The sequence below is a fragment of the Homo sapiens genome, chromosome 19 (assembly GCF_000001405.40).
Source record: "Homo sapiens chromosome 19, GRCh38.p14 Primary Assembly".
NCBI lineage: Eukaryota > Metazoa > Chordata > Mammalia > Primates > Hominidae > Homo > Homo sapiens.
The window spans coordinates 12,890,667-12,912,328 of NC_000019.10; the positions used below are offsets into that span (position 1 = coordinate 12,890,667).

At 51.6% G+C, this 21,662-nt stretch overlaps 2 protein-coding genes and 1 pseudogene across 6 annotated transcripts in view, besides 11 other annotated features; 2 read left to right on the top strand and 1 right to left on the bottom strand.

The window, feature by feature from the left end:
* Positions 1-638: an enhancer, noted in NCBI's record as "H3K27ac-H3K4me1 hESC enhancer chr19:13001481-13002118 (GRCh37/hg19 assembly coordinates)". NCBI's record gives its function as "activates a minimal SCP1, AML or CMV promoter by ChIP-STARR-seq in primed H9 embryonic stem cells {active_cell/tissue: H9 hESC(primed)}" and the evidence as "EXISTENCE:reporter gene assay evidence [ECO:0000049][PMID:30033119]".
* Positions 1-1,276: a biological region, named in NCBI's record as "H3K27ac-H3K4me1 hESC enhancers GRCh37_chr19:13001481-13002118 and GRCh37_chr19:13002119-13002756". NCBI's record gives its function as "regulatory_interactions: KLF1".
* Positions 25-712: a transcriptional cis regulatory region, noted in NCBI's record as "promoter|chr19:13001505-13002192 region (GRCh37/hg19 assembly coordinates) targeted for CRISPR interference". NCBI's record gives its function as "positively regulates KLF1 gene expression in K562 cells {active_cell/tissue: K562}" and the evidence as "EXISTENCE:mutant phenotype evidence [ECO:0000015][PMID:31784727]".
* Positions 44-302: a silencer, noted in NCBI's record as "fragment chr19:13001524-13001782 (GRCh37/hg19 assembly coordinates)". NCBI's record gives its function as "represses an EF-1alpha promoter that drives an FKBP-Casp9 reporter gene in an ReSE screen in HepG2 liver carcinoma cells {active_cell/tissue: HepG2}" and the evidence as "EXISTENCE:reporter gene assay evidence [ECO:0000049][PMID:32094911]".
* Positions 463-9,333, top strand: GCDH (glutaryl-CoA dehydrogenase). 4 transcript variants are annotated; one of them, NR_102316.1, is made up of 12 exons: positions 463-536; positions 605-729; positions 821-856; positions 1,165-1,308; positions 1,651-1,768; positions 2,817-2,987; positions 5,326-5,455; positions 5,539-5,755; positions 6,244-6,347; positions 6,637-6,762; positions 7,037-7,197; positions 8,802-9,333. NR_102316.1 is itself a non-coding variant. In NM_000159.4 (12 exons), the coding sequence occupies exons 2-12, from the start codon at positions 639-641 to the stop codon at positions 8,873-8,875; spliced, it is 1,317 nt and encodes a 438-aa protein (NP_000150.1). In that variant the 5' UTR covers positions 494-536; positions 605-638; the 3' UTR covers positions 8,876-9,333. The 4 variants fall into 4 exon arrangements, 2 of the variants coding, with proteins under 2 accessions (NP_000150.1, NP_039663.1); NM_000159.4 differs by lacking the exon at positions 1,651-1,768 and adding an exon at positions 1,450-1,512 and having other exon boundaries at positions 494-536; NM_013976.5 differs by lacking the exon at positions 1,651-1,768 and adding an exon at positions 1,450-1,512 and having other exon boundaries at positions 494-536; positions 9,034-9,303.
* Positions 639-1,276: an enhancer, noted in NCBI's record as "H3K27ac-H3K4me1 hESC enhancer chr19:13002119-13002756 (GRCh37/hg19 assembly coordinates)". NCBI's record gives its function as "activates a minimal SCP1, AML or CMV promoter by ChIP-STARR-seq in primed H9 embryonic stem cells {active_cell/tissue: H9 hESC(primed)}" and the evidence as "EXISTENCE:reporter gene assay evidence [ECO:0000049][PMID:30033119]".
* RPS6P25 (ribosomal protein S6 pseudogene 25) lies at positions 3,428-4,245 on the top strand (annotated as a pseudogene).
* SYCE2 (synaptonemal complex central element protein 2) overlaps positions 8,120-21,662 on the bottom strand; it is a 20,508-nt gene continuing 6,965 nt past the window's right edge. Inside the window, exons 3-6 of one of the 2 annotated variants that reach the window (XM_011527882.3) lie at positions 13,826-14,000; positions 9,794-9,982; positions 9,338-9,451; positions 8,120-8,719 (exon numbers count right to left, since the gene is read on the bottom strand). In XM_011527882.3, the coding sequence (XP_011526184.1) occupies positions 8,675-8,719; positions 9,338-9,451; positions 9,794-9,982; positions 13,826-14,000 (523 nt within the window). In that variant the 3' untranslated portion in view covers positions 8,120-8,674. Of the gene's footprint in view, positions 8,720-9,337; positions 9,455-9,793; positions 9,983-13,825; positions 14,001-21,662 lie in introns of both variants that reach the window. The other variant, NM_001105578.2, reaches the window with a different exon arrangement.
* Positions 8,666-9,865: an enhancer, noted in NCBI's record as "BRD4-independent group 4 enhancer chr19:13010146-13011345 (GRCh37/hg19 assembly coordinates)". NCBI's record gives its function as "activates an origin of replication core promoter dependent on BRD2, P300/CBP, MED14 and CDK7 cofactors, and independent of BRD4, by STARR-seq in HCT116 cells {active_cell/tissue: HCT116}" and the evidence as "EXISTENCE:reporter gene assay evidence [ECO:0000049][PMID:35650434]".
* Positions 9,134-9,193: a silencer, noted in NCBI's record as "silent region_10181". NCBI's record gives its function as "represses an Ori minimal core promoter by ATAC-STARR-seq in GM12878 lymphoblastoid cells {active_cell/tissue: GM12878}" and the evidence as "EXISTENCE:reporter gene assay evidence [ECO:0000049][PMID:35858748]".
* Positions 9,264-9,533: an enhancer, noted in NCBI's record as "active region_14091". NCBI's record gives its function as "activates an Ori minimal core promoter by ATAC-STARR-seq in GM12878 lymphoblastoid cells {active_cell/tissue: GM12878}" and the evidence as "EXISTENCE:reporter gene assay evidence [ECO:0000049][PMID:35858748]".
* Positions 17,825-18,325: a transcriptional cis regulatory region, noted in NCBI's record as "genic|chr19:13019305-13019805 region (GRCh37/hg19 assembly coordinates) targeted for CRISPR interference". NCBI's record gives its function as "negatively regulates KLF1 gene expression in K562 cells {active_cell/tissue: K562}" and the evidence as "EXISTENCE:mutant phenotype evidence [ECO:0000015][PMID:31784727]".
* Positions 20,111-20,279: a silencer, noted in NCBI's record as "fragment chr19:13021591-13021759 (GRCh37/hg19 assembly coordinates)". NCBI's record gives its function as "represses an EF-1alpha promoter that drives an FKBP-Casp9 reporter gene in an ReSE screen in K562 erythroleukemia cells {active_cell/tissue: K562}" and the evidence as "EXISTENCE:reporter gene assay evidence [ECO:0000049][PMID:32094911]".
* Positions 21,080-21,662: part of an enhancer, noted in NCBI's record as "H3K27ac hESC enhancer chr19:13022560-13023262 (GRCh37/hg19 assembly coordinates)", that runs on past the window's edge. NCBI's record gives its function as "activates a minimal SCP1, AML or CMV promoter by ChIP-STARR-seq in primed H9 embryonic stem cells {active_cell/tissue: H9 hESC(primed)}" and the evidence as "EXISTENCE:reporter gene assay evidence [ECO:0000049][PMID:30033119]".

The following is a 21,662-nucleotide window of genomic DNA, read 5'->3' on the forward strand; positions in this document are numbered from 1 at the left end:
ACACACACAGAGTCACAAGTATCTACATGTGCTTCCTGGGACAGACTGGCAGAAAGGTTTGCTAAGATCGCCCACTTGGAGCTCGTCTTCCCCACAACCAGCACCCAATTAGAGAACTCGAGTCTGGCCTCCTGGGTTCAGGAGGACGCCTAGTGCTCGCGCCAGAATTTCTTTGTTTAATTCTTGACTCCCTCCGCACACACCCCCTGCAACTGACCAACCAGGAGTGGGCCGAGCCCTTTCCTACGGCCAATAAGAGGAGAAACCCAGCTGGCCAATCGGTTTCCCGCACTCGTCTTCCGCCCCTACCCCGTCCGCTTCTTAAAGGGGCTAGCCTATCTCTGTCTGGGCCCCCCGATTTCCACAGGCAAGGCTACCTTAGCCCTTTTAAAAGGCAGAGCTGCGGAGGGGGCCGGATTCTAGGAGGAACCAATGAAAAGCCTCACTCGGCCTCCGCTCCTCCCACTTCTTGCTGAGGTCAAAGGCCTGCGTCAGTTGCACTGTAGCCTCGGCAGTGAACCGGGAGGTACTACCAGGTAAGGAAGGTGCGGTAGCCCCAGCCGTGGGTGAGAGGAGCTCCGCTCTGACACCCCCGCTCCTGTAGGTCGCCGTCGTTGCTCCGCTCGCTCTGAGAGAGCATGGCCCTGAGAGGCGTCTCCGTGCGGCTGCTGAGCCGCGGACCCGGCCTGCACGTCCTTCGCACGTGGGTCTCGTCGGCGGCGCAGACCGGTCAGTGTGGGGTCGGGAGTGTGGAGGGAAGGAGGGAGGAACTGGGGGTTTAGGGACTTTCCGGGGTGACTTTCCCGTTCTGTGCTTGCAGAGAAAGGCGGGAGAACACAGAGCCAACTGGCTAAGTGTAAGGACCTCTGGTCGCACCGTGTGTCTGCTGCCCCTGTTCAGCTGTCTGTCTGCCGCAGGTGGACTCTGTCCCAGAATCCGAGAGCTGCCCGAGCGGGGTGGCAGGGTCGTGGCCAGGGTCAGAGGCACTAAGGCAGTGAGTGCGCTGTGCCTGCGGGGCCGGAGAAAAGTCACCTGATCAGTCTCGCTTGCAGCTCGCACTAGCCGGGGGGCGACATGGGTGTTGGGGGGTAGGGCTGATGAGGGTCCGAGAAGGGAGGGCACAGTGATCTTGCGGACTGGACCGAGGCGAATTCCCCTTCCCAGCCTCGCGTCCCGAGTTTGACTGGCAGGACCCGCTGGTGCTGGAGGAGCAGCTGACCACAGATGAGATCCTCATCAGGGACACCTTCCGCACCTACTGCCAGGAGAGACTCATGCCTCGCATCCTGTTGGCCAATCGCAACGAAGGTGGGCGGGCTGGTGGGTGCCCTGAGACTGCTCCTCCGCCTGGAGCCATAGCCACCCCACCTCAAGGCCCCTCTGTCCTTGGGGCTGGGGCTTCCTGTGGCCTAGGCCTGGGCCTGAATTTGGGCACTGGTCCCTTTGCAGTTTTTCATCGGGAGATCATTTCGGAGATGGGGGAGTTGGGTGTGCTGGGCCCCACCATCAAAGGTAGGAACAAGTATCTCTCCACACACTGCAGAACCCTCTGTATTCTGAAAGCCTCTTCCTCCTTCCCTCCCTCCCTTTCTTCCTTCCTTCTCTTTCTTTTCTTTTCCTTTTCTTTCCTTTCTTCTTCCCCCCCAACAGAGTCTGGCTCTGTTGCCCAGGCTGGAGTGCAGTGGCACGATCTTGGCTCACTGCAAATTCTGCCTCCCAGGCTCAAGCGATTCTCCTGCCTCCACCCCTCTAGTAGCTGGGATTACAGGTATGTGCCACCATGCCTGGCTAATTTTTGTATTTTTAGTAGAGACAGGGTTTCACTGTGTTGGCCAGGCTGGTCTCAAACTCCTGACCTCAGGTGATCCGCCCACCTCAGCCTCCTAAAGTGCTGGGATTACAGGCATGAGCCACCACGTTCAGCCTTCTTTTTGAGATGGAGTTTCGCTCTTGTTGTCCAGGCTGGAGTGCAGTGATGCAATCTTGGCTCACTGCAGCCTCCACCTCCCGGGTTTAAGTGATTATCCTGCCTCAGGCTCCCGAGTAGCTGGGATTACAGGCGTCCGCCACCACGCCTGGCTAATTTTTGTATTTTTAGTAGAGGTGGGGTTTCACCGTGTTGGCCAGGCTAGTCTCGAACTCCTGACCTCAGGTGATCCACCCGCCTCAGCCTCCTGATTACAGGTGTGAGCCACCGTTGCCCGGCCCTTTTCTTTTTTTTTTTTTTTTGAGATGGAGTTTCGCTCTGTCACCCAGCCTGGATTACTGGATTACAGTGGTGCGATCCTGGCTCACTGCAGTTTCCTCCTCCTAGGTTCAAGCAATTCTGCCACCTCAGCCTTCTGAGTAGCTGGGATTACAGGGGTGCACCACCACGCCCAGCTAATTTTTGTATTTTTTAGTAGAAATGGGATTTCACCATGTTGGCCAGGCTGGTCTTGAACTCCTGACCTCAGGTGATCCACCCACCTCGGCCTCCCAAAGTGCTGGGATTATAAACGTGAGCCACCGTGCCTGGCCCCTTTGTTTCTTTTTTTAGAGACAGGGTCTCACTGTGTTGCCCAGGCTGTTCTCAAGTGATCCTCTTGCCTTACTGAAAGCCCCCTTCTTTCCCTAAGCCACAATTTCCCAGTCTGTAAAGTGGGGCTGTTGTCCCACCCTCTGAAAGTGGCTGTGGAGATGAAATGAATAAACCTCAGCTAGGGCCAGCTTGGTGCCTGCCTCCTTGTGTGTCCTTATTCAGCCCTGTCTCTTGGGTCTTAGCTGGGCAGGGCCCTGTTCTCTATTGTCCTGCTTTCCCCTCCTACTACCACCAGGATATGGCTGTGCTGGGGTTTCGTCTGTGGCCTATGGGCTCCTGGCCCGAGAGCTGGAGCGGGTGGACAGTGGCTACAGGTCGGCGATGAGTGTCCAGTCCTCCCTCGTCATGCACCCTATCTATGCCTATGGCAGCGAGGAACAGCGGCAGAAGTACCTGCCCCAGCTGGGTGAGTGGCTGCCCATGGGGCCTGGTGGAAGGAAGACAGTCTCTGAGGTCTGGAACTCAAGGGTGGGGCTGTCCCCTGAGCCTATTCTGTCCCTATCTCAAAGATAGCATAAGTGGCCACCTGGACCCCCGCCAGACCCTGGGCTTCACCTGGAGATCTGATCCCTGGCCAGCCTGACTGTCCCCCTCTGTGACCACCGTCATCTCCCTATGCTTTCTGTGTTCCCCAGTCCAGCCCAAAGTTTAAAGTCCACCAGGTTCCTGCTGGCCATTTGCAGTGGCTCACACCTATAATCCCAGCACTTTGGGAGGGTGAAGTGAGAAGATCCCTTGAGCCCAAGAGTTCGAAACCAGCCTGGGCAACGTAAGGAGACCCCATGTCTATTAGAAAAACAAAAAAAGGAAAGAGCCTATGTGACCTGCGCTAAGTGGACGTTGGCCCTCTTCCGTGGTGTCTCGGAGGTGTTCAGCTGCTTCAAGATGAAGCTGAACATCTCCTTCCCAGCCACTGGCTGCCAGAAACTCATTGAAGTGGACGATGAACGCAAACTTTGTACTTTTTATGAGAAGCGTATGGCCACAGAAGTTGCTGTTGACGCTCTGGGTGAAGAATGGAAGGGTTACGTGGTCGGAATCAGTGGTGGGAACAATAAACAAGGTTTCCCCTTGAAACAGGGTGTCTTGACCCATGGCCGTGTCCACTTGCTACTGAGTAAGGGGCATTCCTATTACAGACCAAGGAGAACTGGAGAAAGAAAGAGAAGATCAGTTCATGGTTGCATCGTGGATGCCAATCTGAGTGTTCTCAACTTGGTTATTGTAAAAAAAAGGAGAGAAGGGTATTCCTGGACTGACTGAGACTATGATGCCTCGTCACCTGGGGCCCAGTACAGCTAGCAGAATCCGTAAACTTTTCAGTCTCTCTAAAGAAAATGATGTCTGCCAGTATGTTGTAAAAAAGCCCTTAAACAAAGAAGGTAAGAAACCTAGGACCAAAGCACCCAAGATTCAGCGCCTTGTCACTCCACATGTCCTGCAGCACAAACAGCGGCGTATTGCTCTGAAGCAGCCGCATATTAAGAAAAATAAAGAAGAGGCTGCAGAATATGCTAAACTTTTGGCCAAGAGAATGAAGGAGGCTAAGAAGCACCAGGGACAAATCGTGAAGAGACGCAGACTGTCCTCTCTGCGAGCTTCCACTTCTAAGTCTGAATCCAGTCAGAAATAAGATTTTTTGAGTAACAAATAAGATCAGATTCGCAAAAAAAAAAAAAAACCCACAAGGCCCTGTGTGACCAGGCCTCTGCTGACCTTTCCACCTCATCTCTGGCCACTCATGTGATCCTCCCAGCCAGACTTAGCTACTTGAAATTCTCCAGAAGTACCACCAGTTCTTTACACATCTGTTCCCTCTCCCAGCACTGCTCTTCCCCACAGCCTCCTCCTGCTTAACTCCTCACACCCTTCCAGTTTGGCCAACTCCTTCCTGATTCCCTGGGTCCCCCTCCCCATCTTGGCATTGTGATCATGACTTTGGGGTAACCTGTCTCTTGAAAGCAGGGCCAGATCTAACTTAGTTATGAGGTCTGACTCAGGGGCGAGGGTAATTTTTTTTTTCTTTTTTTGAGACAAAGTCCCGCTCCGTCCCCCAGGCTGAAGTGCAGTGGTACAATCTTGGCTCACTGCAACCTGCGGTTCCCCAGTTCAAGCAATTCCTGTGCCTCGGCCTCCCAATTAGCTGGGATTGCAGGTGCTTGCTACCCGTGCCTGGCTAATTTTTGTATTTTTAGTAGAGATGGTGTTTCACTATGTTGGCCAGGCTGGTCTCGAACTCCAGACCTCAAGTGATCCATCTGCCTTGGCCTCCCAAAGTGCTGAGATTACATGTGTGAGCCACCTCGACTGGCCTAATTTTTTGTATTTTTAGTAGAGATGGGGTTTCACCATATTGGTCAGGCTGGATTTTTTTTCTTTTTTGAGATGGAGTCTTGCTCTGTTGCCCAGGCTGTAGTGCAGTGGCATGATCTTGGCTCACTGCAACCTCTCCTGCCCGGGTTCAAGCGATTCTCCTGCCTCAGTCTCCTGAGTAGCTGGGATTACAGGCACCCACCACCACATCTGGCTATTTTTTTTTTTTTTTTTTTTTAAGTAGAGATGGGGTTTCACCATGTTGGCCAGGCTGGTCTGGAACTCCTGACCTCAATTGATCCACCTGCCTTGGCCTCCTAAAGTGCTGGGATGACAGGCGTGAGCCACTGCACCCCGCCACGAGGATAATTTTTGAGTAAGGGGATGTATCAGGGACCAGGCAGCCTTGTGACTTTGTCTTGTGCCTGCAGCCAAGGGGGAGCTCCTGGGCTGCTTCGGGCTCACAGAGCCCAACAGCGGAAGTGACCCCAGCAGCATGGAGACCAGAGCCCACTACAACTCATCCAACAAGAGCTACACCCTCAATGGGACCAAGACCTGGTAAGGGTTCTGGGTGGTGGGCAGGTGGTGAACAGGGGCAAAGGGGCACTGGTCAGACCCCTCACCGACTGTTCCATCCCCAGGATCACGAACTCGCCTATGGCCGATCTGTTTGTAGTGTGGGCTCGGTGTGAAGATGGCTGCATTCGGGGCTTCCTGCTGGAGAAGGGGATGCGGGGTCTCTCGGCCCCCAGGATCCAGGGCAAGTTCTCGCTGCGGGCCTCAGCCACAGGCATGATCATCATGGACGGTGTGGAGGTGCCAGAGGAGAATGTGCTCCCTGGTGCATCCAGCCTGGGGGTAAGTGGCAGCCACTTTGGGAATGGGTGTTGGGTCACCTGCGGATGCGGCTTTGTCAGGCAGGCTCCGTGCTGGGGACGCGGCTCCCTGTGCCTGTGGAGCCCACACAGTGGTGATTCTTACTCAGCCGGACTCGCTGACGTGCTGAAAACTGCCCCCATTTGGTGACCGTCTCGCTCATCCCGGCTCTGCCCGGGACACATGGGCCTGAACCAGCTCAGTCATTTGACTCACAGTGCATCTTCTGGCATCCGTCAGCCTCCTGGCTCTGAGCATCGAACCCAGATGCCAGGCTGGGTGGGACTGTGTGCAAACCGAGTGAGCAGGCACCGAGCTTCAGTGCCAGGGCCATCTGTGATGTGAACCACAACCTGAGTCCCCCTGCGTGGGGTGGCTGGGGAGGAGGCTTTCCCTGCTTCAGAGTTGGTTCTGCATAGGCCCTCTTGGTGTCTCTTGGGTGGGCCTGAGGCGCCATCTCAACCCTACAGGGTCCCTTCGGCTGCCTGAACAACGCCCGGTACGGCATCGCGTGGGGCGTGCTTGGAGCTTCGGAGTTCTGCTTGCACACAGCCCGGCAGTACGCCCTCGACAGGTGTGTGAGGGCTGCAGTGAGATTCTCTGGGGGTGTGGGGCAGCTTGGGTTTCACTCTCTATACCATGGGTGACTCCCCAGCCCCCACCCACCAGGCCTGAGTTCCTTGCTCTGGAATGACCAGTGACGTCCTTCTGAGCAGCTGTGGGCTGAGTCAACGGCAGGGCCAGGGCAAGCTTGGGGGCACTGAGGCAGCCTGGGAAGGCGTCCTGGAGCAGGGGGCCCCAGGACAGGGACGGGGTGGGAGAGTGGGCCTCCCCTCGCTCTTACCCTGCCATTGCCCATGTAGGATGCAGTTTGGTGTCCCACTGGCCAGGAACCAGCTGATTCAGAAGAAGCTGGCAGACATGCTCACTGAGATTACCCTGGGCCTTCACGCCTGCCTGCAGCTCGGCCGCTTGAAGGACCAGGACAAGTAGGGGCTGTGTGGTGGGGGCGGGGGGATGGCAGCGGTGGCTGGAGGACCTTGTGTCCTTCCTGGAGAGAAAGGTCCTTCCTGCCTGGTGGCCCTGGGGACCTGAACCTTCTGCTGTCCCTCTTGTCCTTGATGGGCTGGGCTGAGGACAGCCCCACTGGTCCCTCATTGGGAGCTTGGCTGCATCAGGGAATCCCCACCCCGGGCTAGGTTTGCTTGGAGCATCGGGATGCCAGGATCCCCAGTCCTTGTTACCCTCATGTGCCACTCCCAGGGCTGCCCCCGAGATGGTTTCTCTGCTGAAGAGGAATAACTGTGGGAAAGCCCTGGACATCGCCCGCCAGGCCCGAGACATGCTGGGGGGGAATGGGATTTCTGACGAGTATCACGTGATCCGGCACGCCATGAACCTGGAGGCCGTGAACACCTACGAAGGTAGGAGCTGGACCTCAGAGGGCTCACTGAGGCCTCAGTGTCTGGGGAGGGGGTACAGGGAGGTGGGACGGGGACAGGTCTGAGTCCAACTCCACCTATCACTAAGTGACAGTGTGACCTGGGGCGAGCCTTACCCCTCTGTCCCTCATCTGGAGTTACTCACATGGGGACTGTGGAAGTGAAGTGCTTCATGCAGCACACAGAGGCCCCATCAGGCCTTGCGAGGGGCTCCCAGCTCTTTCTCCCACATGCTCGGGAGGAGGGATGTTCCTGAGACAGGTAAGCTCCGAAGGCAGCCCAGGGGTGAGGCCCGACTCCTAGCAGGCTGGTGGACGCAAGGGAGTGAGCGAAGCTACACGCAGGAATCAACGCTCCATTTTGTTAAGAGACAAAAGTCATCTTCAGATGACGGTGTTTGCACCCTGTAACTGATGGTGATTTACATGGGGGTCCAGAACCCCTTGCTTGGTGGGAAGACAGATGTGGAAAAAGATACTTAAAAAAAAAAAAAAAGTGCAAACCCAGCATGCGCTATGTAGAAATAGAGGGAGGTATGAGGACCCCCCGGGCAGAGATGCTTCCAGACAGAGAGAACAGCAAATGCAGGAGGGGTGCCTTCCCTGCGCACCTTGCAACCCCAGATCTTGTCTCTATCTGGCATCTGGGGGGTGGGGGGATCCTACAAATGTGAGAATGACCCTGAGGACAAGCAGCGGGCGCCATGAGATGGTTTTATGCAGAGAAGGGATGAGTCAGATTTGGTGCTTTAGGGGCTCGGCGCAGTGGCTCACACCTGTAATCCCAGCGCTTTGGGAGGCTAAGGCAGGAGGATTGCTTGAGCCCAGGAGTTAGAAGTTATGATGAGCTATGATCACCCCACTGCACTCCAGCCTGGGTGACAGAGTGAGACCCTATCTATATTTAAAAAAAATAGGTTTGTACTTTAGGAAGTAAACAGAATTGGCTCTAAAAAGGAGGCTACAATCTGCCTTCTGCTTCAAGGAGCTGGGGAGGAGCAAAGGATGAGACACCAGGGCATGGGGTGTGGGATTCTCTGGGAGAGGCGGCTTCAGATGGGCAGAGGTCAGCTGAGGCAAGTGACTGCTCTTCCGATGTGCTGTCCCTCCTATCCCTCCCGAGGGTAAGAAAGGGCTTGCTGTGTTTCCTTGGAGCTCAGGGGTGCTTTCAGCCTCTGTGGCAAGGAAGCGTGGCCAGGTTGAAAATCAAACATTTAATAAACTGTGGGGCTGGGGGTGGGGAGAACTTGCCAAGGGTGGGGAGCACGAAGCCTGGGCCTATGGCAGGGGCTGGACTTGCTACATTTTGGGAGTTCAGCACAAGGAGCTTTGGGTTTTTGTTTTTTTCTGCCAAGATGCATTATAGAACCATGAAAAACAATTTCTCAGTGTGGCCCAAATGGTGGCCTCACAGTCTTCTCCTGGAGACTGTCACTAAGGCGTGAGTCTCCCGGCAGCTGTCAGCATTCACCATCTCTGTTGGTCTGTACTTCTGAAGCAGTGGCCTGGGGATACATGAAAATTGATTTTAAAGGGAAGTTGTGAGCTATGAAAACTCCAAACCGACTCTGTATTAATCTTGTCCAGGTACACATGACATTCACGCCCTGATCCTTGGGAGAGCTATCACGGGAATCCAGGCGTTCACGGCCAGCAAGTGAGCCGCTCCATCAGGGGCCCGAAACTCTCAAGCCCCTTTCTGGAGAGATGCCTGGCTGGACCGTAGGAGCGCTGTGCTCTGAGCTTAGAAAGGGAGGTGGCGGATGGAGTGGGAAGTGAGAGACACTGATTTTTAAATATCAAAATTTCCCTTCTGAAGTCGTTCAGATGTGTTCCTTAAAAAGAAGATGGAATTCTCTGTAGAGCGTCTCAATCCACTTTTAACCATGGATGAGAGCAGACTCCATTTACCCTGAAATAGCAGCTTCTCTTGAGAGGAGAGTGACATGGAAGCAACTCCGTCTGCTGCAGCTGACCCCCTCACACTGAGTTCACAGTGCGCCCTCCCTCCCTCCCATCTGGGGGTAGTGCCTTATGCTGGGTGTTGGAGCAGAGTGAGGGAGAGGAAAATAAAGACCTGCACATCTGACCCCAAGGTGTCAGGCCGGTTTACTGGTAACCACCTGAGAAGTAGTTTCAGCCACAGAAGAAACGAACACGTCTGGGGGCTGTGAGTTGCCGGGACGTGGTGGGGACTTTCCCCTAGAGTGGTCTGGCCCCCATCTGAGTCTTAGGCTCTGCTGTAAAAAAGAAACCCAGGTTAGCAGTGCCGGTCTGTGCCAGGGCTGTGGGCAGAGGGGATGATTTCTGAGTGGCAGGGGTGCAAGGGACTTTGTCCTTTCTGTCACCACAGAGCTGCTCATACAACAGTGGGACATGACAACGGTTTGGCTTCTCAGCTCAGACACACCATGTTATAGGGGATCACAAACAAGATGGTGAGTGCACCAAGGGCTTTGCAGGGACTGTGGCCTGGCGGGGTCAGGGCTGGGTGCCTGGTTTCTGTTCACATTTACTCTTGGCTGGGCCATCCCTGTCCTCTTCCTCAGGCAGCGCCCCCCCTGTGAGTTTACTCATACCTCAGGCTGGAGACACAGGTCTTTGTACACAGTCTCCACGCTGTGGCAGACTTGTTTGAGCTCTGTCTCCAAATGGCTGATCTTTGCCATTTTCTGGGTGAACTCTTGGAGCTTTTCCTGGATGATCTTGTTGTGGTCATTATAAATCTGATAGATCCTCTCCTCTAATTTCTCTGTCAGATCCGAAACCTGTTAAACAATAAGATGTGTTCTCGGAAAATCAAACAAGAGGTATCACAAGACATCTGTGTTAAGTGGGTTTCTTAGATTTCTGCAATTTATCTTATGAAAATGACAAAATAGGCTGGGCACGGTGGCTCATGCCTGTAACCCCAGCACTTTGGTAGGCCAAGGTGGGTGGATTACTTGAGGCCAGGAGTTCAAGACCAACCTGGCCAACATGGTGAAAACCCATCTCTATTAAAAATATAAAAGCTAGGACGGGTGTGGTGGCTCACGCCTGTAATCCTAACACTTTGGGAGGCCGAGGCGGGCGGATCACGAGGTCAGGAGATCGAGACCACTGTGAAACCCCGTCTCTACTAAAAATACAAAAAAATTTAGCCGGGCGAGGTGGCGGGCGCCTGTAGTCCCAGCTACTTGGGAGGCTGAGGCAGGAGAATGGCGTGAACCCGGGCGGCGGAGCTTGCAGTGAGCTGAGATCGCGCCACTGCACTCCAGCCTGGGCTACAGAGCAAGACTCCATCTCAAAATAAATAAATAAATAAATAAATAAATAAATAAATAAATACACAAATACATAAAAACTAACTGGGCATGGTGGTGTGCACCTGTAATCCCAGCTACTCGGGAGGCTGAGACAGGAGAATTGCTTGAACCTGGGAGGTGGAGGTTGCAGTGAACCAAGATGATGCCATTGCACTCTAACCTGGGCAACAAGAGCAAAACTCCGTCTCAAAAAAAAAAAAATTAGCAAGGCATAGGTGACGCGCACTTGCAGTCCCAGCTACTCGGAAGGCTGAGGCAGGAGGATCACTTGAGCCCAGGAGTTGGAGGCTACAGTGAGTCATGATCACACTACTGCACTCCAGCCTGAGAGACCCTACCTCAAAAGAAGAAAAGAAAAACACCAAAAACTAAAACCCAGTGCAGTGACTGGGGGTCAGATTGCCTATATTTTAAATTTTTTTGCTTTTTTTGTTTTGTTTTCTTGCGGCGGAGTTTCGCTCTCATTGCCCAAGCTGGAGTTCAATGGCATGATCTTGGCTCACTGCAACCTCCGCCTCCTGGGTTCAAGCGATTCTCCTGCCTCAGCCTCCCGAGTAGCTGGGATTACAGGCGAGCGCCACCACACCCAGCTAACTTTTTGTATTTTTAGTAGAAACGGGGTTTCACCATGTTAGCCAGGCTGGTCTCCAACTCCTGACCTCAGGAGATCCCCACCTTCAGCCTCCCAAAGTGCTGGGATTACAGGCATGAGCCACTGCACCTGGCCTGTTAAATTTTTTTAAGAGGCAAAAGTATATACAGTCGTGTGCTGCATAATGACATTTTGGTCAATGTCAGACTGTATATACAATGATGGCCCATAAGAGTATAATGCCATATTTTTACTGTACCTTTTCTATGTTTATATATATTTAGATACACAAATACTTACCATCATGTTATAAGTGCCTACAGTATTCAGTATGGTAACATGCTGTGTGCAGGTTTGTAGCTTAGGAGCAATAGGCTCTTCCACGTAGCCTAGGTGTGTAGTAGACTATACCATCTAGGTTTGTGTAAATTCAATCTATGATGTTCAGATGATGACAGTGTCACCTAGGGATGCATGTCACAAAACTGTACAGTACAAGCTCAGCCAGGTTAGGAAGAAAGTACACAGAATAGAAGAGGCATCCAACAAAGTGGCCTCTGGGTGCTGTATCAAAATAAATAAATAAATAAATAAATGTTTTTGTATCTTTTCTACTAGAGGCCAAGGCAGCAGGGTGAGGAGTTCAAGACCAGCCTGGGTAACATAGCAAGATCCCATCTCTACAAAAAAAATGTTTAAAGAAAATTAGCTGGGCATGGTGGTGCACACCTGTAGTCTCAGCTACTTAAGAGGCAGAGGTGGGAGGATCATTTGAGCCCAGGAGTTTGAGGCTCCAGTGAGCTGTGATCGTGCCACTGCTCTGTAAGCCTGGGCAACAGAGTGAGACGCCACCTCTAAAAATATAAATAAATAAATAAAACAAGTGAGCCGGGCATGATGTTGCATGCCTATAGTCTCAAGCTACTCGAGAGGCTGAGGTGAGAAGATTGCTTGAGCCCAGGAGTTCAAGATTGCAGTGACCTATGATTCCACCACTGCACTGCAGTCTGGGCAACAGCAAGGCTTGTCTCAAAAAAAAAGAAAAAGGAAAATAAAGTCAATCTGTCATCAAGACACCTAGAACCAGCAAGCTGTCCCACTCATGTGACCCATTATGTATTTTGTTTGTTTGTTTGTTTGCTGGAATTATAGGCACGTGCTACCATGCCTGGCTAATTTTTTTTTTTTTTTCGAGACAGCCAAGATCGTGCCACTCTACTCCAGCCTGGGCTGGGCAACAGAGCGAGACTCTGTCTCAAAAAAAAAAAAAAAAGAAAAAGAAAAAACCAGAAAGAGGCAGTCTTCTTTTTCTTCTTTTTTTTTTTTTTTGAGATGAAGTCTTGCTCTGTCACCCAGGCTGGAATGCAGTGGCGGGATCTCTGCTCACTGCAAGCTCCGCCTCCCGGGTTCAGGCCATTCTCCTGCCTCAGCCTCCTGAGTAGCTGGGACTACAGGCGCCCGCCACCACGCCCAGCTAATTTTTTGTATTTTTAGTAGAGACAGGGTTTCATCATGTTAACCAGGATGGTCTTGATCTCCTGACCTCGTGATCTGCCCGCCTCGGCCTCCCAAAGTGCTGGGATTACAGGCCTGAGCCACCACGCCCGGCCCTCTTCTTTTTTTTTTTTTGAGACGGAGTCTCACCTGTCACCAGGCTGGAGTGCAGTGGTGCAATCTCGGCTCACTGCAACCTCCGCCTCCCAGGTTCAAGCAATTCTGTCTCATCCTCCCGAGTAGCTGGGACTACAGGCGCGCACCACCATGCCCAGCTAATTTTTGTATTTTTCATAGAGACGGGGTTTCACCATGTTGGCCAGGATGGTCTCCATCTCCTGACCTTGTGATCCCCCTGCCTCAGCCTCCCAAAGTGCTGGGATTATAGGCGTGAGCCACCACACCTGGCCCCTATTTATTTATTTTTGAGACGAAATCTTGCTCTCTAGCCCAGGCTGCAGTGCCGTGCAGAGCCACTGCACTGAGCCAATTTTTTTATTTTTAGTAGAGACGTGGTTTCACCATGTTGGCCAGGCTGGTCTCGAACTCCTGGCCTCAAGTGATCCACCTGCCTCGGCCTTCCAAAGTGCTGGGATTACAGGCGTGAGCCACTGTGCCTGGTCCCCCCATTATATATTCTGAAGAGGCATCAGGTGCAACCATTCATGTAGGACCTGAACATCACACCAGCTTTTGCAAGATGTAAGCCCTGGGCATGTGGAAGAAGCTCCACTCCCCCGTCACAGACCATTCGATGGCTTCTGCAGGACATATGGGTGTGACAATGCAAGTTGTGCCTCAACCCCCTACTCCCGTGGCTGCTCGACCTTGCGTGAAGTAAGAGGGCTGCGTGTTGGAGGCAGGAGGGCATCCAACGCCCCGCTCCCTCAGCCTGGCTCTCTCGTCAGGCAAATCATTCATTTCCAAGCCTTATCTATATCATGGGTCCAATCTCTTCTCTGTAGGACTATTCTAAGGGTAAATTGAGATACAGATGGTCCCAACTTACTACAGTTCAACTTACTACATTTTTGACTTACAGCATTTTCAACTCACAATGGGTTTATTGGGACGTAGCCCCATCATAAGTGGAGGAGCTCCTGTGCTGTGTGTGAATGGCCTAGCACCGTGCCTGGTGTACAACAGACACCATCAGTGGTTCATTCCCTCCCCTTTTGCATAAGGAATCCCCCCTCTCGCTGGGTGGAGTCTGTCACCTTGGTCTTCAGGCTGTTCCTGAAGTTGGTCATGAGTGCATGGTCCTTTTGCCGGCTCTTGTTGATGTTTTCGATCAGCTCCTGGGCTCTCTTCTGCAGGATGTCAATGCTTGAGTCCAGAGAGGAGAAGTAGAGTCCCGACTTCCCTTCCAGGACCGTCAGCTGGCAACTGGCACTGGAGGTGGCGACACAAGGGCAAGAAACCTGACTTCTCAGAGTACAGGAAGCGGCCAGGTGTAGTCGCTCATGCCTGTAATCTCAGCACTTTGTAGGCCGAGGTGGGCGGATCACAAGGTCAGGAGTTCGAGACCAGCCTGGCAACATGGTGAAACCTCGTCTCTAGTAAAAACAAAAAAACAAAAAATTAGCCAGGCACGGTGGCACGTGCCTGTAGTCCCAGCTACTTGGGAGGCTGAGGCAGGAGAATTGCTTGAACCCAGGGGATGAAGTTGCAGTGAGCCGAGATCACGCCACTGTACTCCAGCCTGGGTGACAGAGCGAGACTCCGTCTAAAAAAAAAAAAAGGACAGGATGCTGAGATCAGCACCAGACTCTTCCAAGAGCGGCTGATCTGAGAGAGATCAGGTGGGAGGGGACCCGCGTTGTTGCCTTCCATGGGTGACACGAGGCATGCTTCCTAGGTTATTCCATTCACACACACGCCCTGAATGATGAGAATGGCACCCCCATTTTATAGCTGAGAAAACAGACCAAGAGGCACGACTAAATATGCCCAAGGTTCCAGACCAAGGAGGTCTGTCTGTCCCCAAAGCCCACTGTTATTTTATGACACCAACTTGCTTCTTTGGAATTTTGGAATACCAATAATAGTGTCAATGCTTTCTTTCTTTTTTTTTTGAGACGGAGTCTCACTCTGTCGCCCAGGCTGGAGTGCAGTGGCGCGATCTCGGCTCACTGCAAGCTCCACCTCCCGGGTTCATGCCATTCTCCTGGCTCAGCCTCCTGAGTAGCTGGGACTACAGGCGCCCGCCACCACGTCCAGCTAATTTTTTGTATTTTTAGTAGAGACGGGGTTTCACCGTGTTAGCCAGGATGGTCTCCATCTCCTGACCTCGTGATCCGCCCGCCTCAGCCTCCCAAACTGCTGGGATTACAGGCGTGAGCCACCGCGCCCAGCCCAATGCTTTCTTTCTTATTTTCTTTTTTTTTATAGAGACAGGTCTTTCTCTGTTGCCCAGGCTGGAGTGCAGTGGCACAATCATAGCTCACTGCAGTGTCAGCTTCAAGTGATCCTCCCACCTCAGCCTCCTGAATAGGTGGGACTACAAGCATGTGCTACCATGCACAGCTAATTTTTAAAATTTTTAAATAGAGACTGGGCTTCACTATGTTATTCAGGCTGCTCTCAAACTTCTGGCCTCCCAAAATGTTGGGATTACAGGCATGAGCCACTGCGCCTGACTGATGCAATCAGCAATCTCCTGCAACCTCTGTCTCCTAGGTTCAAGCCATTCTTCTGCCTCAGCCTCCCGAGTAGCTGGAATTACAGGTGCACACCACTACACCCAGGTAATTTTTGTGTTTTTAGTAGAGACAGGGTTTCACCATATTGGCCAGGCTGGTCTCGAACTCCTGACAAGTGATCCTCCTGCCTCGGCCTCCAAAAGTGCTGGGATTACAGGCGTGAGCCACTGCGCCCAGCCTGATGCTTTCTTAAGTGACCTTCCTGTCATTAACCTGCTGCATCCCTTTCCCAACCTACTGGGTGATGTTGACCGCCTGGGGCTACAGTGTACCTGCACCTCCTTGCTCCCACCAGGTGAGGTGAATACCTGTTGAATTATATTTAAAGAGCATTTAAAGAAATGCGCACACACAAAAAGTTGTTGGTCCCATGTTGTACATGTAACTGTAATTATGTAATTCAAATATTGTGTTAACAAGTGAAATAGTGGCAGAAGAGTGACAGCTATCTAAAAAGCTAAACAGAATGAAAAATTTTGAGTAATATGTAATGTTCCGTAACTTCATAATATTCAATGTAATAAAATGGAACTTCAGTTGGGTATGGGAGAGAGAACTAAAATTGAAGCAAAGATCATAAAAATCTAGAAAAATTCTGCATATAGATTGCTCTGCCAAGGCCTTGTTCTCTGCTTTAAAAACAGAACTGGGGCCGGGCGCGGTGGCTCAAGCCTGTAATCCCAGTACTTTGGGAGGCCGAGGTGGGTGGATCACAAGGGCAGGAGTTCGAGACCAGCCTGGCCAACATGGTGAAACCCCATCTCTACTAAAAACACAAAAAATTAGCCAGGCGCAGTGGCAGGCGCCTGTAATCCCAGCTACTCAGGAGGCTGAGGTACAAGAATCGCTTGAACTCGGGAGCCGAGATCACACCACTGCACTCTAGCCCGGGCAACAGAGTAAGACTTCGTCTCAAAAATAAATAAATTAATTAAATTAAATTAAAATAAATTAAAACAACTGAAAATTGTGGGTAATGCATTGTGAATGAAGTTTATGGAAAAAATGTGATCTGATAAGGCAACCCATTGGTATTTTAAATTAAGATATATTTTTTCTTCTTCTGATGCTCTGGTTTATTTGACCGGTTTGACGTCTGATCAGTTAGCGGTTCTGGCCAGGTAGAGCTGCCCCTGTGAGTCACAGCTAACTTTTCCTCAGCCATGTTCCCGGCACTGAGCTAAGTCACATGCCTTGTCTTGGTGCATCCTCACGACCACACTCGGGTCATCTGCTGTTCTCTTTACGACATGGGCTTAGAGTGGTTACACCACCTTCTCAAGGTGGAGGACAGTCTGTGGCAGAGCTGGGCTTTGTACCCAGAAGGCCTGACTTCCCAGCTGGTATCCTGCTTCCTACTAAGGCACTCAGGCGCCACTCCCCTCCTGGATCTTACATTTCCTCGTCGCCCTCTGAGGTCCTCCAGCTCTGAAAGGCCAAGCCTTGTAGGTGTGGACAGAGCAGTTCCTGAATGCAGCAGGTCACACTTGTGTCCACAAGCAGGTTACTGATTACTTACAAAAATAAATCTTGGCCAGGCACAGTGGCTCACGCCTGTAATCCCAGCATTTTGGGAGGCCGAGGCGGGTAGATCACCAGAGATCAGGAGTTCGAGATCAGCCTGGCCAACATGGTGAAACCCCGTCTCTACTAAAAATACAAAAATTACCCAGGCATGGTGGCATGTGTCTGTAATCCCAGCTACTAGGCGGACTGAGGCAGGAGGATCGCTTGAACCTGGGAGGCAGAGGTTGCAGTGAGCTGAGATCGTGCCACTGCACTCCAGCCTGGGCAACAGAGCGAGACTCCATCTCAAAAATATAAAATAAAATAAAAATAAATCTCAGCTATCTCAACCAGGCACAGTGGGCTCACGCCTGTAATACCAGCACTTCGGGGGGCTAAGGCAGGTGAATCGTGAGCTCAGGGTTTTGAGACCAGCCTGGGCAACATGGCAAAACCCCATCTCTACAAAAAACACAAAAATTAGCCGAGTGTGGTGGTGTGTACTTGTAGTCCCAGCTACTTAGGAGGCTGAGGTGAGAGGATCACTTGAGCCCGGGAGGTCAAGGCTGCAGTAAGCTTGATCATGCCACTGCACTGGAGCCTAGATGATATCACGCCACTGTACTCCAGCCTGGGCGACAGAGTGAGACCCTGTTTCAAACAAACAAACAAAACAACCACAACACACATATACACCCCTCCCCTCTCCACCCGGTCTCCCCCAGCCGGCCACCTCCCTCTTTCCTCCCCATCAAGGCCAAGGTTCTAGAAGGAGCTGCTTAAATTTTCTGGGCTTTTTTTTTTTTTTTTTTTTTAAGAGAGAGAGAGAGTCTCACCCTGGGCTTCTTTTCTTTTCTTTTGAGACAGAGTCTCGCTCTGTCACCGAGGCTGGAGTGCACTGGCATGATCTCAGCTCACTGCAAGCTCTGCCTCCCGGGTTCACGCCATTCTCTTTCCTCAGCCTCCCGAGTAGCTGGGACTACAGGCGCCCGCCACCACGCCCGGCTAATTTTTTGTATTTTTAGTAGAGACAGGGTTTCACCGTGTTAGCCAGGATGGTTTCCATCTCGTGACCTCATGATCTGCCCACCTCAGCCTCTCAAAGTGCTGGGATTACAGGCGTGAGCCACCGCGCCCGGCCATCCTGGGCTTATTTTCTTACCCCCATTCACTTTTCAGTCCATTGTAATCAGGTTCCTCCCCCGGTTCTCAAATGAAACAGCTCCTACCACAGTCACCATGACCTTGTGGTTAGACCGATAGACATCTCAGAGTGACATGCTGACCTCTTGGCAGCAGCCAGCACTGCTGACCACCCTTCCCTGCTACTCCCGACATGTGGTATCCCAGAGGTCTGTGCTTGGGCCTCTGCTGTCTTCTTGCCAGACACCGTCAATCACACACTTGTTCTGCAGTGAGGCCTCCATGCCTCCTCCCTGCTGGCCCCTGCAGCTAATATCCCAGCCACCATTCCACAATGCACAGGCTATTATTCTCCAAAGGCATTCATTCCCGTAGCATGGGATCCCTGAACAGTCCCCTTTCCCACCTACGTCCTGTCTCCTCCAGAAAGTGTTCCTTGGCTGGATTAGGTGCACACAGCACCTACGGTTTCACTGTTTACACCTTGGCCTCCCACTGTAGTCTGCTGAAGGGCCAGGGCCATCCTTCATCTTTGTATCTTCAGTACTTACCCCTCATGAGAGAAGCAATAAATGTGCTGCTAATAAGTAAATGACTTGCGAGTACTATCCATTACCATCCACACTTTGGATTCTATCATCTAAATTCTATCATCCCAGCCCATGCCTCTCTCCTGAGGACCCAAGAATATATGAAACCTCCCAGCCTCCCCACATGGCTGTCTCAAAGGCATCTGAAACTCCACATTTGCACAACCAAAAGCGTCATCTCCCAGGCAACCCGATTTCATCTTCCATTCCCTTAGTTAATGACATAAAAAGCCACCTGGTTCCCAAGCTCAAAACTTAGCAGCAAGCCTAGAGTCCAGCTTCTCTCTGTCCCTCTGCATCCTGTCTCAAAATCCCCTCATTTCTACCTTCTTTGTTTTTTTATTTTTATTTTTAATTAATTTTTTTTTCAGATGGAGTTTCACTCTTATTGCCCAGGCTGGAGTGCAATGGCGCGATCTCGGCTCACTGCAACCTCCGCCTCCCGGGTTCAAGCGATTCTCTTGCCTCAGCCTCCCGAATAGCTGGGATTACAGGCATGTACCACCACACTTGGCGAATTTTGTATTTTTAGTAGAGACGGAGTTTCTCCATGTTGGTCAGGCTGGTCTCAAACTCCCGACCTCAGGTGATCCGCCCTCCTCGGCCTCTCAAAGTGCTGGGATTACAGGCATGAACCACTGTGCCCAGCCTTTTTATTTATTTGTTTTTGAGACAGAGTCTTGCTTTGTTGCCCAAGCTAGAGTGCAGTGGAGCGATCTCAGGTCACTGCAACCTCCAACTCCCGGTTTCAAGCGATTCTCTTGCCTCGGCCTCCCAAGTAGCTGGGATTACAGGCACCTGCCACCACACCCAGCTAATTTTTGTATTTTTAGTAGAGACGGGGTTTCAACATCTTGGCCAGGCTGGTCTCCAACTCCTGACCTCGTGATCTACCTGCCTCAGCCTCCCAAAGTGCTGGGATTACAGGCGTGAGCCACCATGCCCGGCCCTACCTTCTTAATGTCTCTAAATCTACCATCATTAGCAGCTCTATAACTTTCACTTCTCAACTAGGCCATAGGGACCTTTATTTTATTTACTTATTTATTTTTGTAAAAAATTTTGTAATAAATTTTATGTTAAAAAATTTTTTTTTCTTTTGTAAGAAATTTTCTTTTGTAAAAAATTTTGTTATTATTATTTTGTTTTTGAGACAGACTCTCACTCGGTCGCTCAGGCTGGAGTGACAGGCTGGAGTGTCGCTCAGGCTGGAGTGGTGCAATCTCAGCTCACTGCCACCTCCACCTCCTGGGCTCGAGTCATTCTCGTGCCCCAGCCTCCTGAGTAGCTGGGACTACAGGCACACACCACCACGCCCGGCTAATTTTTGTATTTTTAGTAGAGACAGGGTCTCACCATGTTGGCCAGGCTGGTCTCAAACTCCTGACCTCAAGTGATCCGCCTGCTTCGGCCTCCCAAAGTGCTGGGATTATAGGCATGAGCCACCACGCCTGACCTTTTATATATATATATTTTTTTTGAGATGGAGTCTCGCTCTGTCCCCCAGGCTGGAGTGCAGTGGCACAATCTCGGCTCACTGCAAGCTCTGCCTCCCGGGTTCATGCCATTCTCCTGCCTCAGCCTCCCGAGTAGCTGGGACTACAGGCGCCCGCCACCACACCTGGCTAATTTTTTGTATTTTTAGTAGAGGCGGGGTTTCACCATGTTAGCCAGGATGGTCTCAATCTGCTGACCTCATGATCCGCCCGTCTCGGCCTCCCAAAGTGCTGGGATTACAGGCGTGAGCCACCGCACCCGGCCTGACCTTTTTTTTTCTTTTGAAGGCAGGGTTTGCTACATTGCCAAGCTGGAGTACATCAGTACAATTACTGCAACTTTGAACTCCCCCAGGCTCAAGTGATCCTCTCGTCTCTGCCTCCTGAATATCTAGGACTACAGGCGGGTACCACTACTCCTGGCTAAATTTTGTTTAATTTTTCTGTATAGATGGAGGTCTTGCTATGTTACCCAAGCTGGTCTCAAACTCCTGGCCTCAAAAAATCCTGCCTCGGCCCCCAAAGTGCTGAGATTACAAACGTGAGCCACAGTGTCAGCCCCTAGTGACATTCTACACTGTAATCTGATTTCCTACTCCTGTTTGTTAGCCTAAAACCATCCCCACCAGCCACAAGATCAAGTCTAAATTCCTTCACACAGCATACAAGGCCTTCCAGGGCCCTGGCCTCCACCCTCTCTTCCAGCCTTAATGGGTTTTTTTCTTTTTCTTTCTTTTTTCTTTTTTGAGAAGGGGTCTCACTCTGTCGCCCAGGCTGGAGTGCAGTGGCATGATCTTGGCTCACTGCAGCCTCCACCTCCTGGGTTCAAGCAATTCTCCCACCTCAGCCTCCCCTGTAGCTGGGATTACAGGTGCCTACCAACCATGCCTGGATAATTTTTGCCTTTTTTTTTTTTTTTTTTTTTAGACGAGGTCTCGCTCAGCTGCCCAGGATGGAGTGCAGTGCCACGATCTCGGCTCACTGCAACCACTATCTCCCAGGTTCAAGTGATTTTCCCATCTCAGCCTCCTGAGTAGCTGGGATTACAGGCACCTGCCATCATGCCCAGCTAATTTTTGTATTTTTAGTAGAGATAGGGTTTCACCATGTTGGCCAGGCTGGTCTTGAACTCCTGACCTTAGGTGATCCACCTGCCTTGGCCTCCCAAATTGCTGGGATTACAGGCGTGAGCCACCGTGCCCAGTGCAGCCTTACTGTTTTCTTTTTGTTTGTTTGTTTTTTTCAAGACAGAGTCTTGCTCTGTCACCTAGGCTGGAGTGCAGTGGCACGATCTCGGCTCACTGCAACCTCTGCCTCCCGGGTTCAAGCAATTCTCCTGCCTCAGCTTCCCAAGTAGCTAGGATTACAGGTGCCCACCACTGCACCCAGCTAACTTTTGTATTTTTAGTAGAGACAGGGTTTCACCATGTTAGCCAGGCTGGTCTCGAACTCCTGACCTCGTGATCTGCCCGCCTTGGCCTCCCAAAGTGCTGGGATTACAGGCGTGAGCCACCAAGCCCGATCTAGCCTTACTGTTTTCTACAGCCCCTCCATCTGCAGCAATTGGGGACCTACCACAATTTCCCCAAACATGTCAGCCTTTGCCTGGAATGACTT